Source organism: Homo sapiens, chromosome 2 (assembly GCF_000001405.40).
Source record: "Homo sapiens chromosome 2, GRCh38.p14 Primary Assembly".
Classification (NCBI taxonomy): domain Eukaryota; kingdom Metazoa; phylum Chordata; class Mammalia; order Primates; family Hominidae; genus Homo; species Homo sapiens.
In genome coordinates, this window is record NC_000002.12 from 60,394,428 (window position 1) to 60,412,895 (window position 18,468).

General features: G+C 46.2%; 1 protein-coding gene and 1 long non-coding RNA gene across 8 annotated transcripts in view; both read right to left on the reverse strand.

The window, feature by feature from the left end:
* Window positions 1-395: 395 nt before the first annotated feature.
* On the reverse strand, window positions 396-7,701 carry LOC102724142 (uncharacterized). Of its 3 annotated transcripts, none has more exons than XR_001739489.1 (3): window positions 7,661-7,701; window positions 6,006-6,098; window positions 2,984-3,634 (listed from the first exon to the last, which is right to left on the reverse strand). It is a non-coding gene; the product is annotated as an uncharacterized LOC102724142 (long non-coding RNA). The 3 variants fall into 3 exon arrangements; XR_001739488.1 differs by having other exon boundaries at window positions 6,006-6,820; window positions 7,661-7,700; XR_007086327.1 differs by lacking the exons at window positions 2,984-3,634; window positions 7,661-7,701 and adding an exon at window positions 396-2,389 and having other exon boundaries at window positions 6,006-7,550.
* Window positions 7,702-7,741: 40 nt separating this feature from the next.
* LOC124906010 (uncharacterized) overlaps window positions 7,742-18,468 on the reverse strand; it is a 37,651-nt gene continuing 26,924 nt past the window's right edge. For 3 of the 5 annotated variants that reach the window (XR_007086331.1, XR_007086329.1, XR_007086328.1), the window contains 2 exons: window positions 8,529-8,613; window positions 7,747-7,783 (listed from right to left, as the gene is read on the reverse strand). Coding sequence is in view for 1 of the 5 variants with exons in the window: in XM_047446573.1 (XP_047302529.1) it covers window positions 8,579-8,613 (35 nt within the window). In the remaining 4 variants the exon portion in view is untranslated. Of the gene's footprint in view, window positions 7,784-8,475; window positions 8,614-17,606; window positions 17,708-18,468 lie in introns of those variants that run through there. The other 2 variants (XR_007086330.1, XM_047446573.1) reach the window with 2 other exon arrangements.

The following is an 18,468-nucleotide window of genomic DNA, read 5'->3' on the forward strand; positions in this document are numbered from 1 at the left end:
GTCAGTGGGAGCCCAGGAAAGGCCAGCCTAGGATGGCCAGGGCTACCCACTGAGTATGTTAACTCAGCTGGTCCTGTGTGGTGGAAGCTTGGGAGCAGAGCCTGAAATCACACACACCGTGAAAATAGTATGTTGGTGTTGTGGCTCTTCCAAGGCTGAGCCAAGCCTGATACAGCTTGGCCTTTTTTATACCGTATCTTTAAACCAATTTAACATTTTTGGCTCAGGCAGAAGTGGATATACTATTAGTCATTCAGCTAAGGCTGTGGAGGCTCACATTTCCCACTGTACACATAAGACAAACAATTATTGTTATTAAGGGAGAAAACTATGTTTGACATGAAATCAGAGAAAAAGAAAGAAGAACAAAGAAAATCAACAGCATCTCTCCATTCTTTCATTCAACATATGCATATTTATTAATCCCCTTTTGTGTGTGCCAGGTACAGCAGGGCCACGGGAATGTATAAAGCATGGCATGTACCATCCACCCAATGGGTTGAGAGAGCTACTGTTGTTTTCCAATAGTAATACAAAGCAGCATAGGGTAAGTGTCAGAACTAATCTTTTGAACAATTAACATAATAGAAGTTCAAGGGAATAAAGAAAGGCTAAGGAAAGCCTGGAAGAGGCACTTCCAGTTGGCTTTTTGAAGGACTTAGAGGCAGAGAGGGAACAGGAAGGAACCTCAAACAGACCGGGACGAGCAGCCATATGGCGGTGAAAATGAGCAAGACATATTTGGGCAGAGTGAAGCCCAGAACGGCATGCTCCTACACTCACTGTAACACAGCAGCACCCAGTGCTCCTGATTTGGGGATGCAGGCTGCCCCACACGTCAATATTCTCTCTTCCCCTAGCATCCTGGTGATACATCCTGTCCCCATCTTCCTCTCCCTCTTCCCAGACTCCTGTGGAGCCAGGCACCAGGGGTATGTTGGCTCTGTGGCTTGCTGGCCTTGTTACCTCAAGCAGATTGTGTAACCGCTCTGAAATTTCATTTATTTGACGGGTAAATGGAGTTGATCATGCCTCCACTCACCCAGCTGTTGTAAATATTGAAGGGATCGGCCACATTGGGTCACTCTGTAAGTAGGAAAGGATCCTTCCTGCAAACCTACGCCACCATCATGTCTACTGTGAAGTTTCTATATAAACATCTGGAGTACAGCCAGATGCAAAATCTGAAAGGATACCATCAAGCCATAAGCAAGAACACTTCATTTAAAATGGAAGCTCCAGCCACGGGTACTCTGACTTCTGCGATCCTGGCCCTCATCGCCACATCCCCCACAATGCCATGCAGACAAAAAGACTAGATAGGGCTGATGGATGGACATCCAGAGAGTTCCTGGCAATTGTTAAGGTTATGTCCAGAACTACCGCCATGCTGCTTTGCGTTTGGGCAGGACACCTTCTCTCTCTGGGTTAAATGTGAATGGCTCAGAAATACATGCTAGAAGTTCTCTCCAGGACCTTTCCCAGGTGGGGGTTAGAATCCTGGAAGACGGTGTCTTCAAAATGGAATTTCCACACCCTGAGTGCTGCACATGATGAACCACTGGGGTGTGGGGAGAAAGTATTAGAGCTTCTACCTTCAATTTTTCTAATATACAATTACATTCATTTTCAGTTGCCACCAAAATAAATTACCACAAACGTAGCAACTTAAAACAGTCCAAACATATCTCAGTTTCTGGGCCAGTTGAACTCAGTTGGATCCTCTGTTTAGTGTCTCAAAAGCCAAAATCAGGGTATCTGCAAGGCCTCACTTCCTCCTAAAGGTTCTGGGGAAGAATGCTCTTCTAGCTTGTCCAGGTTGCTGGCTGAATTCGGTTTCTTGTGGCTAGAGGACTGCTGTCTTTTCCTTGTGGCTGGCAGTCTTTGTTCCCAAAGGTTGCCTGTGTCCCTTCTCGTGCTTTCCAGGTGGGCTCCCCAGAAACAGTAGGTCGGGTCTTTCTCACACTTCCAATCTCTCCGACGACCTCTTTTGTCACATCTCTTTGACTCCAGCCAGAGAAAGCTCTCTGCATTTGAAGTCTCATGGGATTAGATTAGACACCTGGATAGTCCAGGGTACTCCCTCTAATTTAAGGTCTTTAACCTTAATCACGTCTGCAAAGTCCCTTTTGCCATAGAAGGTGACATGTTCAGTTTCCATGGATTCAAGCATAGTCACCTTTGGGGGGCATTCTGTCTACCACAATCCTCAAGGAAAAGGCTTTACACTCAATGACCGCTGTTGCTGTGGGACACAGGGTCAAGGTTACATATGATATCTGAGATGTCTTGAGGGAAAGGTGGGAATCTCACGACAAGGAGCAGTTGACAGTGACACCCTCACTTGCTGGTTTGCTTTTAGCACATAGTGACAGATGAAAACCTGTGCCTTCACAGTGGCCAAGAATCAGAAATGAGAGTCCAGTTAGTTCCCTTCTTCCATTCAGATTTATATGTCTCATATATCTTTCTCAGCTATAATCGCCCAAGTATTGAAAATCAGAGCCAGGCTTTTGACTCACTGTGCCACAAAGTATTATACCAAGATTTTTAAAAATAATCATGCCTATCCAATCCCATTGCTCTCACTAGAAATTTGATTAATAATAATATATTTTAATGAGAACAAAAAGGGTTTCAGATAGTTAATAGACAAAATCTTTTTTTTTTTGAGACAAAGTTTTGCTCTTGTTGCCCAGGATGGACTGCAATGGCACGATCTCGGCTCCCTGCAACCTCTGCCTCCTGGGTTCAAGCGATTCTCCTGCCTCAGCCTCCCGAGTACCTCGGATTACAGGTGTCCGCCACCATACCCAGCTAATTTTTTGTATATTTAGTAGAGATGAGGTTTCACCATGTTGACCAGGCTGGTCTTGAAATTCTGACCTCAGGTGATCCACCCACCTCGGCCTCCCAAAGTGCTGGGATTACAGGCATGAGCCACCGCGCCCAGCCCTATTTTTAAATATTTATTTCATCGGTATCAATTTTTAAATTTGTGTTTAGATATGTGTTTTTAAAAATACATATTTAATATGTATTTGTTTAATGTTAATACATTGTTTAATGTTAATGTATTTGTTTAATGTTAATATGTAAAAATACATATTTAATATGTATCTGTTTAAAAAAACAGAACATATTAGTTCAACAGTATGTGTACAAAAGTTATAATAAGTATATACGTGTTAGATGTGCATTCTCAAAAATGTTTTTATTAATGAAGTTGCTCAAGTAAGGTTCGGAAGATAAACCTTTGGGTCACAAGACAGACATCGTGCTGGGCTAAACACAAACCTTCTGGAGATATTTTAAAGCTTCCTCAAACTTCCTAAATATGCTGTGTTTCAAAATACTTGGTTCTTGGGTTGTGATCGATTTTTCAGGCAATTTAGAGAATCTCTTTTCCAAGTAGCCCCTTCCCTACACTCTTGTTTTAGCTGAAGAACGTTAAGAAAAGAAAATGGAGTTCTCTTTCGAGGTACTGTTTACTGAGGTGCAAAATGAGAGACGGGGTCTGGGCCTCCTGGTTTCTTGTGTTTGGGTCCAGCAGGAGTTGAGAGCCTCTGAATGGCCATGCTGGGGGGTTTCCTGTGCAAGACTTTACACATTTGAGGTTCCATCAATCCGGCACCTATGGGACAGGAAGCCAGCAAGGTTTGTGGAGCCAGATAGCCAAATAAAAAAGAATCACCTTTTACTTTCCTGAAGTTAATTAATGCTGAGTGGAGCAGGCCAAGTACAAAAACTGATCAGGCTTTCTCTGAGCAAAGACTCCACATTTTACCCATAAAGCCAAATAAGCCTGACCCTGGGACCCCCACAAATGCAGGTCAGGCCTAGCTGGGAGGTACAGAGGAACTAACACTTTTCCCTTCACACTCCTTCTGGTGTTTCCCTTCTGGGTCTTATTTTTATTCATTTTTCCAGTTTATAAAACACACTCACCGATGGGCCCTTGGGGCACATGTGGAAAAGCTTAAAAGACACAAGTACAAAAACAGACTGACTTAGAGTCAAGAACCAAAACCCTAAGAATTCTCCTCTATCTCGCCCCCACCCCCTACTCCTGCCCAAGTTACATTATGGGCCTTCCCCTCCCATATTTCCTAAAAGGTCCATAAAGTTGGGCTTTTTCCAAAGGAAAGGGAGGTAGGTATCAGAACTATTCTCTTAATATCTTGATCCAAGGTTTTCTCGGAGCCTGGTGCTGTAGCCTAAGGTGGTTTGGCAAAGGGGTTGCTTGAACAAAGAGGTCAGGCCTCAGCAACGGGCAGTGAGGCCTCTGCTCCCAGGCCCTGGACAGCCTCCAGAACATCCGGGTCACTCCTAAGAATCCAGGATCCAGACCCAGTACACACATATCAGGAGCTCAGATTTCCCACATCAGGAAGGGAAATAAAGACTACTTTCTTAGGCCGGGCGCAGCATCTCACACCTGTAATCCCAGCACTTTGGGAGGCCGAGGTGAGTGGATCATGAGGTCAGGGGTTCAAAACTAGCCTGGCCAAGATGGTGAAATCCAGTCTCTACTAAAAACACAAAAATTAGCTGGGCATAGTGGCGGGCACCTGCAATCCCAGCTACTCGGGAGGCTGAGGCAGAGAATTGCTTGAACCCAGGAGGTAGAGGTTGCAGCAAGTCTCCATCGTAAATAAATAAAGTCTATATTCTTTGAGGGCCCAAACAAGATGCTTTCAAAGGCCCAATCTTCCCTCCCTTTTAAAAAGTGTGCTCTCGCCAGGCGCAGTGGCTCACGCCTGTAATCCCAGCACTTTGGGAGGCTGAGGTGGGCGGATCACCTGAGGTCGGGAGTTCAAGACCAGCCTGACTAACATGGAGAAATCTCATCTCTACTAAAAATACAAAATTAGCCGGGTGTGGTGGTGCATGCCTGTAATCCCAGCTACTCGGGAGGCTGAGGCAGGAGAATCGCTTGAACCCGGGAGGCAGAGGTTGCAGTGAGCCGAGATTGTGCCATTGCACTCCAGTCTGGGCAACAAGAGCCAAACTCCGTCTCAAAAAAAAACAAAAACAAAAACAAAAAAAAGAGTGTGCTCTCGAAATTACTTTAATCTGCTCTGTTAAACAGCTGACTGATCATCTGATGAATGGGAAAGAAAAAACAAGTAGTCCAGACACCATTTCAGCATAGAGAGGCAGTGCCATGCTCTCATTCCTTCTTTCATTAAATACATGTTTGTTGAACACCTACTATACACCATAGGCTAGAGCTACATCTGAAAATGAAACAGACTCGCCCCTTCTCCTGTGGCTCTTACAGTTTAGTGGGGAAGACACATTAACCAAATAACTAAGTAATTTCATGTGGGCCTCGTGCACTTTAGGGGAAACTGACTTCATCTGGGGGGTCAAGGAAGGCCTTTCTGAGGGCAGACATTCAAGCTGGAAACTGAAGGACACATGGAGTTAAACAGGTGAACAGTGGAGGAAGAGCTTTTGAGGCAGGCACCATGGAGAAGACTGAAGGGTCCAGAGACCACCACAGGCAAAGACCAAGAGACGCTGTCACCAGGCCTGGCAGGCCACACTCTCAGGGTGCAGCTTTGTCCAAGTGCAATGAGCAAACTAACGTGATCTATTCACGTTTTTAAAAAGATCTCTCCTGGGGCTGGGCGCGGTGGCTCACGCCTGTAATCCTAACACTATGGGAGGCCAAGACAGGCAGATTGCCTGAGCTCAGGAGTTCGAGACCACCCTGGGCAATATGGTGAAACCCCATCTCTACTAAAATACAAAAAAAATAGCTGGGCGTGGTGGTGTGCACATATAGTCCCAGCTACCCAGGAGGCTGAGGCATAAGAATTGCTTGAACCCGGGAGGCAGATGTTGCAGTATGAGCCGAGATTGAGCCACTGTACTCCAGACTGAGTGACACAACAAGACTCTGCCTCAAAAAAAAAAAAAAAAAAAAAAAAAAAAACTCTCCCTAGAACTCCTGTTGTTCCTGGAGCTCTGAGAAACGTGGTTTGAAAAGGGCCAACCTGAGGAATCAGGGTCGTGGTCTTCATTTCCATCAGTGATTGACTTTTGTGATCACAGGAGTTGCATTCAGATGGTTTGCTGAGAATGTTGCTCTGGCAGACACGAAAGAGAATGTGAGAAACACAGACACAGTTCTGGAGCACCATGAATGTAGACAAAACACACTCAGCAAAGTAGCAAATCCCCACACTGGGTAACCAGGAAGGAGATGAGTGTGGCCTTCCGGTGAGACCCGCTCTTCCTGAGGGGCGCTTCAGGCACCAGAGGCCCCTGCTCGCTCATGACTCCCTCAGCCAATCTCAGCCTTCTGCCAGGCCAACCAGACTCCTCAACCACCAGAGATTAGAAGAAAATAAGGCTGTCCTATTGCCTCTAAATCAAGTGATGAAGCATGACAACTGTCAGGACACTTTTTTAAACGATTTGTCCTGAGGTTTGTGAACACATTCTTCCTGAGGCAAAGAAAAACAAAACAAACCAAACCATCCTGCACAGCTTTGGGCACACCCATCTCAAGTGTCCCTGAGGACCAGGATCTTTGACTCCTCCTGCCCAGAGGAAGCTTCCAGAAGAACACTGTTCTCCAGTGGCTGTTGGGCTGTGGTATTTTTCACAGGAAAGGGAAGTGGGGTCTCTGTGAGAATCGGCCACCTGCCCCAGGTCCCCTGAAAGTTGACATAATGCCTGGACTGTATTCTGCTCCAGCTCTCTTCACAGACCCTGAGTGGGGAGAGGGGCAATGCTCTGTGATTTATTCATCCTGCTTCCATCCTTCATGCAGTGCATGAATAAATGAAAGAGAAGGTGTACTCAGCTGAAAGGAAAATAAAAAAGAAGGGAATAAGAGACACCCCCCCGGCCAAAACATGAAAAAATAGGCAATTTTTTCAAAAAGCCATTGCATAGGTTAAAATCGCCCCAGGGAATGTTTAAGTTGCTTCTTGGTCATTTATTTGAGCTTTAGGCCACTCTTGGGCTGTGGTGCTTAATGGAAAGAGTATTTACCTCAGCAACTGCGGCAAACCAGGGATCCAGCAGGCATGCTGGGCGGACACAAAGTACCTTCACAAAGGAGGCCATCAGCTAAGAAAATGTCAGACTTAACATTTGGGGATGCCATCAAGGGATCTTTTAAAAATATTTTTCTGTTAATGATGACTGAGGGTGGAGAAAGAGAAGGAGAAGAAAAAGGCACACTCAAGTTTCCCTTCTATTTTTCACAACTGCCCCTGCTTTTCCCTGTTCCCCCTCCTCTGTTGAACAGTACAGAAGCAGGTAAGGCAGACTGGGTAAGAAAGGATCATTTGGGAAAAGGAGTTTGGAAAGCAATGTCTTTCTTCCTGACACCTTGTTGCCAACAGTCACCAGCATGCACACAGGAAGCTCCATGTAAAATCCTGCAGGTCATTTTCCCCACAAGCCAAGAGGTAAAAGGTATCCAGATGTATGCTCTTGCATATCCAGTCTTCTGCTCCCCACACTTAAATGCATAACATTGGCCGGATTCAGTGGCTCACGCCTGTAATTCCAACACTTTGGGAGGCTGAGGCTGGCAGATCACCTGAGGTCAGGAGTTCGAGACCAGCCTGGCTGACATGGTGAAACCCCATCTCTACTAAAAATACAAAAATTAGTCAGATGTTGTAGCACGTACCTGTAATTCCAGCTACTTGGGAGGCTGAGGCAGGAGAATCATTTGAACCCAGCAGGCAGAGGTTGCAGTGAGCCAAGATTACGCCATTGCACTCCAGCCTGGGAGACAAGAGTGAAACTCTATCTAAAAAAAAAAAAAAAAAAAAAAAAAAGCATAACATTTTACTTGTCTGTATCTAATATCAGGCCTACAGCATGCACACGTGTGTGCACGCATACACACACACACACACACGCCAAGCAGCCCTCTTGTTTTCAGGAGCACAGAAAGAATTCTACTATTTAGATGCAGTCAATTGGACCAGATGATGCAGTGATAGCCTGGAGTGTTAAGCCCCAGACCACCAAAAGAGAAGCAATGGGCATTCGTACTGTCCAAGGAGTTGCGGCAAGTTCTCAACCTGGTGACTTAGCAGAAACCCCAAGGCAGAGCTCCTCCAGCTTTTCATGGGGAGGCTTCCTCATCGATGGGACACAGGGGGATGAAGGGAACAGTGGGGGAAGTGATGGGTGGTGAGTGGAAAGGAAGGGTAAAAGTGCAGAGGGCAGCTGCCATCTGGGAATCTTACTGCAAGCCACGGGAATGCGGATCAAGCCAGCACCTCACACTCCCCCTGCTCCACATACACACACATCACTTGAGACATCACCATCTCAAATATGGTTGTTCAGCCTCAAAGCTGAGCAAGCACAGTCTTTAGTGTTGGCAACAAAATAGACATCTGACCTTTTAGGTGTGAGTTAGCAAAGGCAGACTCTATAATTGTTAGCATAGGCTAAGGTGCAGTAACAAATAGACCCAAATGCAGTGACTAAACACCACGGAAGTTTATTTCTTGCTCATGTAACATCTTGGGCAGTGCTCCAACCTGTGAGCAGCTCTCTCCACCCGGTCTTTCAAGGAGCCAGGCTCCTTCTGTCATGAGGCTCTGCCATGCACGGAAGTTTCACTCCCTAAGGTTGGTGAAAGACGAAAGGGATATAGAAGAGTGTTGGCCTGGAAGAGGTACACTGCACTTTCACTCACATTCCCCTGGTGAGGAATTGTTGTGTCTCTGCTCAATGTAAGAAAGGGACGAAGAAATGGATTCCCTGGCTGGGCAGCTCCTCCCCAGTGACAACTATATAGTATGGAAAGGAGATGGCCACCTCTTCCACAGTAACTCTGAATTCATGCACTCCTCTGCTCCCAGGAAAAACCTTGGTTTACACATGACAAATAAGATAGAAACTACGTTCATTTCACTTTACTTCTACTTTCTAATTAAGGTTGGGGGCCGGGCATGTTGGCTCACACATGTAATCCTAGTGCTTTGGGAGGCCAAAGCAGGCAGATCACTTGAGGTCAGAGTTCGAGACCAGCCAGGCCAACATGGTGAAACCCCGTCTCTACTAAAAACACAAAAATTAGCCCGGCACTAAAGACTGTGTTTGCTCAGCTTTGAGGCTGAACAACCATATTTGAGATGGTGACGTCTCAGGTGCCTGTAATCCCAGCTACTGGGGAGGTTGAGGCAGGAGAATCACTTGAACCCAGGAGGCAGAGGTTGCAGTGAGCGGAGATTGCACTATTGATATTTTGGGCGGCAGAATTCTTTGTTGCAGGGGTCTGTCCTGTGCACTCCAGCCTGGGCAACAGAGAAAGACTCCATCTTAAAAAAAAAAAAAAAAAAAAGGTTGGGAAGATGATCAAAGAAGAGGAAGGCCAGGTAGAAGTCACTTACCTCCCTTTTATTCTATTTGAGTGCCTAGTTAGTGCATGAGTGGTGTCTTAGCAGCCCACCCCACCCCACCCCACCCCAGGCTTAACTAAGTGTGAAGATCTTTATTGGTTCCAATGTCAGAAAAAGGATGAAGTCCAAATGCGTCAGAGTCCTGTTCATTCTGTTCCTGGCCTGTTTTATTGGTTCCTTGTCCTATCTCCTCCTCCTCCTATCCTCATTCAGCCTACACACCAGCCACATCCAGCTCCCTCTGCCCGTGCCCGCCATGCTCTTTAATGCCTTCGCACCCATGCACACTGTTCCTTCAGAATAAAATGCCCTTACCCCTCTGCTGTGCCTGGCAAACTTCCACACACTGTTCAAGATGCAGCTCAAGCATACCCTTGCTCCCCGCCCTTAGTCCCATAATCCTTTGAGCATGCATCCATTAAAGCACGTAGGTTACTTTGTGTCTGTCTCCAATTAGACCAGCAGTTCTCAACCAGAGGCAATTTCACCCTCCACTCCCAAGGACATTTGGCAATGTCTAGAGACATTTTTGGTTGTCACAACTCGGGGGAGGGGGTGATACTGGCATCTAGTGGATAGAGGCCCGGGATGCTGCTAAAAATCCTATAATGCACAGGACAGACCCCCACAACAAAGAATTCTCCTGCCCAAAATGTCAACAGTGCAGAGGTTAAGAACCTCTGAATTAGATGGTGAGTTTCTCAGAGCAAGGATATCCCATTTCTTTGGAATCACCTTAGCAATGTCACAGTGCTGTACAATGTACAAAGTAGGCTCTTTAGGAATGTTAAATGGAAGGATGGATGAATAGATAGATAAGATAGATAACTGATAGATAATAGACAGATAAGAGATAGATAGATGATAGATTGATAGATGATAGTTAGATAGATAGATAGATAGATAGATAGATAGATAGATAGATAGATAGATGATAGATAGGTAGGTAGGTAGATAGATCAACATTAGAGCAAACCACACAGACTGAAGAACTGTGAAGCCAGGCTTATCTCCTGAGTTGTCCTTGGCATGAAAAGATGCAGAATCTCCAAACTTCAAGCTTCCATGGCCAGAGAACAACCGGTTAAATTGCAGGAGCTGCCAAAGAGAGACCCCAGGAGGACGAGGACTCTTCCTGGAGCTTACCACTAAATTCAGCAGCTCACTAAATACATTAGACACAATTTTAATAAATATCTGTTTGTGTCTTTCCTTTTTTTTTTTTTTTTTTGCAACTTGTATTCTGCTAATTGATTTGTAGAAGATAAATTATGTTTATCAATGTAAATAATTTGCATTCTGAACTTGTTTGTTTTACTTTATGCATCTTCACACCCTTTAGTCCCCGGGAACCCTGAGGGACAAAGTGTTTCATAAACTGGTTAAGAAGCAAATTTTCAGGAATAATGTATTTTTTAAACCAGACTTACTTACCTGTGGTTTGCTTGCTGCTACTCAGGCAAGAAGTAGGTGATTATTAGACCCAATCTGACATCACTCCCAGGGCATGCCCCGTCCCAGCCCCTGCAGAACTTCTAGTTAGAAAAGCAGCAACCGCCGCACATGCTCCAGCACAGAAGTGCTCCCCTCAACTCCCCTCCTTGTCCCCATGGATTCCAGCTGTCCCTCTTCCATCACCAAACAGGCTGACGACAACCACAGCTGAACATGATGTCAAAGGGCAGCCCCTGCCTACTGGTTACTCTGGGATTGTGGCCCAGGACTCTACAGACAGCGAGCTCAGAGGTCTGCAGAGCCCTCTTCCTAAGTGTGCCCCAAACTCCGTCATGCCCAGGGGACTCTGGGGCTTTTGACAAGCATGTTCAGCTGAGTTCAGAGCAGCCCAATTCCAAGAGCTTTAACTAAACAAAAGATCTGTGCCAAGCACCGTGCTAGAAGCTGGAGACTTAGAAATTTTTGAAGAAACAGAGCTACTTGGGGCAGGAGGAGCAGGGGAGACAGACATGCAGACAAATAATTACAAGCCTGTGTGTCAGGGCAGTGACAGCAGTAAGGATGAAGGGCTATGGGAACAGAGAAGCCCAGGCCAGATGTAGGGCCTGGCCCTGGCCATTCCCCTGCAGAGGAGAAAATGACAGCTGGCTGAAGGTTGGGGAGGGTGCAGCTTCTGACCTACAGTCCCATCTAGGTCCCCAGGCTGAGGTTCTCTACAACTCTGATGACAGCCCAGGACCACTCCTCCGCCTTGGACTTCAGGGGGAGCTGAGCTTTCCTCTTACAAACCCCATATGGATTCCCTTTCTCAGGAGGGGGTGGGGGTCAATGGCTAAGTCCGGCCTATCAGGACTGGGGCCCGCTGGGGCCTGGGGGGCTTGCGCAGACTAAACATTTAAAACCCTAAACTCCCACAGATGTCAGTCTGGCTGGACGGCACAGTCGGACACCTCCGAAAGGCTGTCCACTCCCTGTCTGAGAATAAACAGGACCACAAAGTGTTGGATTTTTTTTTTTTGTATGACTGCGTGTGTGTGTGTGTGTGTGTGTGTGTGAGAGAGAGAGACTTCCTTAACTCAGAGGTCAGCAGAGGCTCAGCCCTGCCCACCTCAGCCCCCACACACCAATCCCTCAGCCCACAGACTTTCCCAGGACTCTGTCCGCCTCTTCCTCCCCCACACCCTTCCAGATGCTCTCGAGTCCTCTGTCCATGGAGGCTTCCTTGAAGACTGACCCTCACATCTCTCTGGCCTCCCCCTCCAGGAGTTATTAGCCCAGTGCTTCTGATTTGTTCAAAACCCGTAACCTGAAGCATGAGCTGCAATGTGCTATCGTGGATAGTGCCTGGGGCCATGGCTTGAGTATCAACATTACTCTGGTGGTTCAGCCTTGGGTAAATGGGTGACTCAAGGTTTCTAACTGAGACTGAAGAATCTGCCCTTTCAGCCCCCATCGTGGCCCCCATATTGTTCCAGTAGAGCCAACCCTGGCTCTTCCGAACTTTCCCAGTAAACACCCCAGTAACCAGTGAACTACACAATTTCATTGCATGAGCAATCCTTTATTCCCCAAATTTCTCTCAGGTTAGGGGACAGAGATCTGATAAATATGGACCCAGAGGATCCAGAACAAATAGCTCTAAACTCCTCCCATAAATGTCTATCTGCCCCACAGCCTCTCCCCTTCCTCTCCCAGCAGATGCAGCCCCAGCCCCACCCTAGGCTCTCTTTCTCTGCCTCTGCTTCTCCTAGACCAGGGGATGCCAAACTATGACAGCTCAAGAAGGCTGTGGAGGAGCTTCCGTGAAGTCCCTTCCACGCAGCCCAGCCAGAACATCCTCAGTGGGGAATCTTAATTATGATGAAGGGTGACTCCAATTTCAAACTTCCTGGAGTTCAGAGGGGTCCAGTGTGTGCATCTGTAATTTAATTACTATTTATTATTTATCATCCCTTCATAACCCGAGAAGCTTCAAACCTTTAAAGAATTAGATATGTGTACTACCAAGATCTGCAACCCAGAGTGTAACAGATAAATCACTAGCTTCCTTCCTTTAAAAAAAAAAAATGTTTAACGTCTTTACCATTTCTGCTTCTCCCTAAAATGTGTTTACCCTGAATTAACCTTACAGAAAAAAATCCCTTCCCTAGGGAGCAAGAGGAGGGCAGGTATATTGAGAGTCAACTCAAAGCTGACCTTTAACCCTCAGCCTTTTCATCAGAAGATTGACCATATATTAAGCTGAGGGCAGCTGCAGCTGCCCTTGGCCCCTCATCCTTATCACGAATCAGATGCCTCTTCTCCCAGGCTGGCTTCAGTCCAGAAGCTCAGCTCAGCCAGCACAGATAGTGTTCCCTATGTCCAGTCTGCTTCCAGAATCCAGGACACTCCCATTGCCTTCAAAATGCAGGGCCACCACCAAGCTCCCACACAGCAAAGACCAGTAAGGACAGGTCAGACCTGGAGGGGAAACTTGCTCTGCTGAGCATCCCTTAGCCCCAAGAACGTCCTTCTCATCACTCAATTTGATGCCTAAAATCCCTTCTGCAAGTGAGCAAGCCTTTTACTTCACAATTGGAGCTAAGGCTACAAAATGCCCCAAGAAGTAATTCACTGGCTTTAGTTCATGTTTCCAAGGGCTAATAACTTCTAGAGTTGGTCTCTGAGGGGCTTTCAAAGAGCATGCCAAAGGGCATGGAGGCAGCAACCTCTGGTGGGAAGAACTTGGCATTTGAATTAGACAGGCTTGAATTGAAATCCTAGCTTCATCCCATACTGGCTGTGTGATCTTGGCTGAGTTACTTAACCTCTCTGAAGGTCAATTTCTTCATGTGTAAAACATTTAAATCATTGGGTTATCATAAATAGTAAAGGTGATGGCATAAGTAAAGTGCCTGGCATATAGACGATCAACTTTCTTCTGTCTTTTGCACAGAGGAAACTCAAAAAAAAAAAAAAAAAAGGAAAAAAAACAAATAAAATGATACTTCACTTGTTTCACTCTTGAGTCCAGAATCAGTACTAACTCCTCTGACATATAAATAGGAATTCATAAGTAAAATAAGCTTAAAAACTGGGGAAGCCACACATTCTTAGGAGGTTTGCATGACAGCACATTTTAATCTATATTCTTTACCATGGGTAGGGAAAAATTTTCCTGTAAAGGGCCAGATAGTAAATACTTTTGGCTTTGAGGGCCAGTCTCAGTCATGACTACTCAACTCTGCCATTGAAAGCAGCCATAGACTTAGATAGCATAGATGCATAAAAGAACAGGCATGGTTGTGCTCCAATAAAACATTATATACAAAAACAGGCGGTGGTCTGGATTTGGCCCCTGGGCTGCAGTTTGCCAACTCCCGTTCTATACCAACCTGTCCCAACAAGTTTCATGACTTTTGAGCATCACAGGGATACCTCTGAAGATCTTGCCATATTTCACACTGAAGTCTGGGGGAGCATTGAACCCTTGGGCATGTCCAGCAGTTTGTCCAGCCCTCTAGACTGCCACTGGGTTGAGTGAGTCTAGACTGCCCTGTTAGGGTCTTCGATGATGATTGCTCATATTTGGGGAAATACGCTGTGTCCCAACCCAGGCTATCTGGCCACGTGAAGTTCGGCTTAGCTTCTCCAAGGAGGACTCAAAGGCTAAAGAGGTAAACAATATGCAGAACACTTTGTCTCCTTCATATGCATTATCTCAACGCATTTCAAAACAAAGTCATAGCAAGAGTGGATACCATTACCTCACTTTACAGACCTAAAAGCTGAGACACCAGGGAGGAGCCTGAACTACCCAAGATTTGATGGTTGGCTAATTGGTGACATGAGAAGTAAAATGTAGTTCTTGCTCTTTCTGCCATATGACAGTATCTCCCCCTGCCCACTTTGTCCTGCTTTTTGCTTGATTTTAGAACTTGTGAAGTAGCATGAGCAGACATCTCCCACACTGAAAGGGACCCAAATTTTTAAGAGTAGAGAAAACATGAATTAAGAAACTCATGTAAATAGGAATTAATGACGTGCTGTGTGTGATCTGTGATGTTCCAGGCATATTGCAAAGATTATGTCTCATTTCAAAGAGCAACCTCTGCAGCCTGGAAGCCGGTTTAGGGCAGGCAGGGCAGGGCCAAGGCTGCTAGTGTGAGTAATCAGCCCCCAGGCTGGGGCTTTTCTGCACAATGCCACTGTCCGATCTCCCCAACTTGTTTCTGGCACCTTGCTTCTTTGTCCAAGCAGGTCATTAAGCAGGTAAAATTGACCTTGATCTATTTAAGAACATCTTCCAAAACGGCAGCTGGTCTAAACAGGGTGTCGAGCATTCATGCTCGTCCTGGGGGTACTGCTCGGTTTCTGGAAGGATTCCATAATGCATGGAGGAGTGAAGGATTCTGCAGCTTCCTAAAATTAGGGAAATCGTGTTTTGGTCAGACGTATTCGTTCATTGAGGAATTCAAGCCTCATTTCTGAGCGGGCTCCCTTTCCCTTTGCCAAATGTACATTTTAAAACTCTGTCTTTGCCCCACAGATTTATGTCTAAATTGCTCTAACTCTTTGAAATAAGGGCTGGATATAAATCTTACCAAATAATGACTAATGTATATTAAGAGTCAACTACATGCCAGGCACTCTGCCTGCAATAACTCATGCCATGTTCACAATAACCTCGCAGCTGAGTTAGTATTGTCTCCATTTTCCAGATGAAGAAGGAAGGATCTCAGAGAAGGCACAGTTTCAAGTGATACTGAGGATCTGAACTCAGGTTTGTGTGTCTCTAAGTCCTGCCTTTGCTACTTGCGCTCATTCGTGGATGTATCTCTTTTTCATAAATCTCAAGTAAAATTTCAACAATGCTGCAGGTCTAAAGCAATGACTGGGAAACTGCTCTCCACTGGGAGCTCATTCTTCCTCTTCCTGGTCTTCAAATAATCAGTGTCTGAAGGATGCAGAAGGAAAGTGACTACAGTATCCACCAGTTTTGCCCCCTTTCCTAAAGCATCCTTGAGGTGTGTCACTGCACCCTCCCGGCCAAGGTCTCCTCCAGGTCAGTGGGTCTTCTTCGAGGACTATGGTGACAGGGACAGATATCTACCAGGGCTCAGGCGAAGATCATCAAGCTCTGGTGACCAAAGCCAGAGGTGAACTCTGGGCCGCAGAAATGAAAGGTCGGCAGTCAGCCCATATTCCCCTGTTCCTGCCCCGCTCCACAGGGCAACAGACAGCCCCGAAACTCAGAAGCCATAATCGCTGCTCTCTGAAGCCATTTCAAATGCATCTGACCGCCCAGGTTTAATTCATCACCTTTGAGGTTTCAGGAGATGACCCGACCCTGGGCTGCAGACCCGAGGCTCACCTTCAAGGACACAGGCACGAAATACGACACCACTCCCCCTCCCCGCATCCTCCAGTCAATCCCCAAGGCCTCAGACAGCCACAGGACCCCAGGAGGGGGATGCAGACAGGCCTGACCAGGCACAGGAGGGGGAACATGACCCTCCAGGGCTTCTCATGCCACCACATTAAAAAAAATGTGGACTAGGTCAAATTTCATTCATTTCTTCTGGTTTACGAAAAGCAAGTCTGAGAGTCTGGGTGGGAAGGCAACTCAGAGGACAGTCCCCAAGGTACAGAAACCCAGACAGCCCCTGTGGGTGGGGGGGGGGGGGGGACGGACGTGCTGTTTGACAAAGGTGTCATGTGATATTAAACATGGTCTCGGAACTGCGAACACTGACCTTCGCCCCTGCCAGCCCTGCCCTTTCTCGCCCCTGCTCCCCCATTTCAAATCTGAAATGTAGATTTGGCCTGGATACAAAATACCTTCCTCTAACCAGGACTGAACGTTTGCACACCCTGAATGCATTGAAATGATACAATGCCGGGGTCAGAGTAACACAAAATACTAGGACCACTAGACATAACACAGACTCTTTATTTCTAAACACCACTATAGCAGTTGGCAGTCCCCAACCCCCACCTCCAACCCAAGTCTCAAATGTAAGAGAATTTTCACTTTATCTCCTCGGGCTTGTTTTCCCTTCACTCTCCTTATTCATTCCATGTCCTTGTATTTTATTTTTCCTTTTATTAAAAAATATATATATCAGTGCCTTCTCTAGAGCCCTCCTTTTTAAAACAGCACAAGAAGGCACCTTAAGGGAGGCTGTGGAAATCTGTTTGCAACTTTCTAGATGTAATTCTAAACCACAAGGAAGAATATCCTTCCGCCTGTGCAGCTAAAAAATTTAAGAAACCACAACAGCTTTTCTCACTCAGACGCAGGACACCTCCTCCAGCTGAAAAACTAGATTCTGAAAAGAAGGAATTGTAGGAAAACTAACCAAAAAGAGGATAACTTCTCCAAAACACTCACCTTTGAGTTTGGAGCACCCTGTTGAGTGTATATCTGTGTGTGTGCATTTGAGTGTGTGGACGCGAGTATGCATGAGTGTATCTTTGTGCAAGTAAGTGTATGTATGTGTGGATGAGCAAATGTGTATGTGCAAGTGTACATACATGTGTATATGAGAATGTGTGCATGCATGTGAGTTTACGAGTGAGAGTGTGAACATATGTGAGCGGCTGTTCATGCAAGTGAGTGTGTATATGTATGTGTCAGTAGTGAGTGTATATGTGTGAGCTGAGTGTGCATGTGTATGTCTGGGTTTTTTAGTGCAGAAATACAGCATATGATGAACCAACTAGACTAAGGGTCTCTTGGCTCCACCTGGAAGCTACCATACAACCCTTGCTCCTTACCTTAGGGCAAAGGTGAGGCTGAAGTTGCCTGGAGGTATGCGATGAACAAGGACCAGAGAAAAGCAAGGCAGCGAGCCCTCCGGGGAGTCAGTTCTGTGACTGAAGACACTCTCAACATTTGCAGACTTTGCTGCAGGTCCCAGGAAAGCCTATCACAAGAGGGTAAGGCTATGGCAAGATGGGCAAGCTCCCTTGAACGGAAGGGTGAGGCTCACAGCACAGCTGTCTGCTGGCGCATCCATTTCCTCAGTTATTACACCTGCCCCAAGCTCCTGGCTCTTGCAGGAAAATACCGCACTGCATCAGAGGAAAGATGCCCAGGCATAAGTCTGCTGTATTTCTACATTTGTGGGCCAAGAGACTGATGCATCCAAACTGCTTCAAGCCTCCTGAAGACCTCATTCCACCATTACCAAAGTATCTCCCCCATCCCTCCCAGGCCCCAGCATTCTAGCCACCAAATGACAACAGACTTCAGAATTAAATTTTCCTTTTTTTCCCAATAAATCTATAGTCTTCACTACCCCCTTATATTTTCTAATCTCCTAAACTCATTTAATTATGTCCAGAGTAATTAAACTTGCTATCAGGGGGCATCTGGAAGGAAAGTTAATACATTTTAATTTTACTTATACAATGAATATTCGATCCCACATACAGTGTAGGGGAAGGCACTGGTACACACACAATCTTGCATAATGGACTCATGGGGATCATGGGTTGCAGGAGGTTGGCGGGGTAGGAGCCAGCAGGATTCACCCAGACATGCTAGGAGACAGGGAGCACCGTATGGACGAAGCCTCGGGGTGAAAAGGGATTAGTGAGGAGTATTAAAACTGGGCAGGGTGGGGCCTCAGGAATC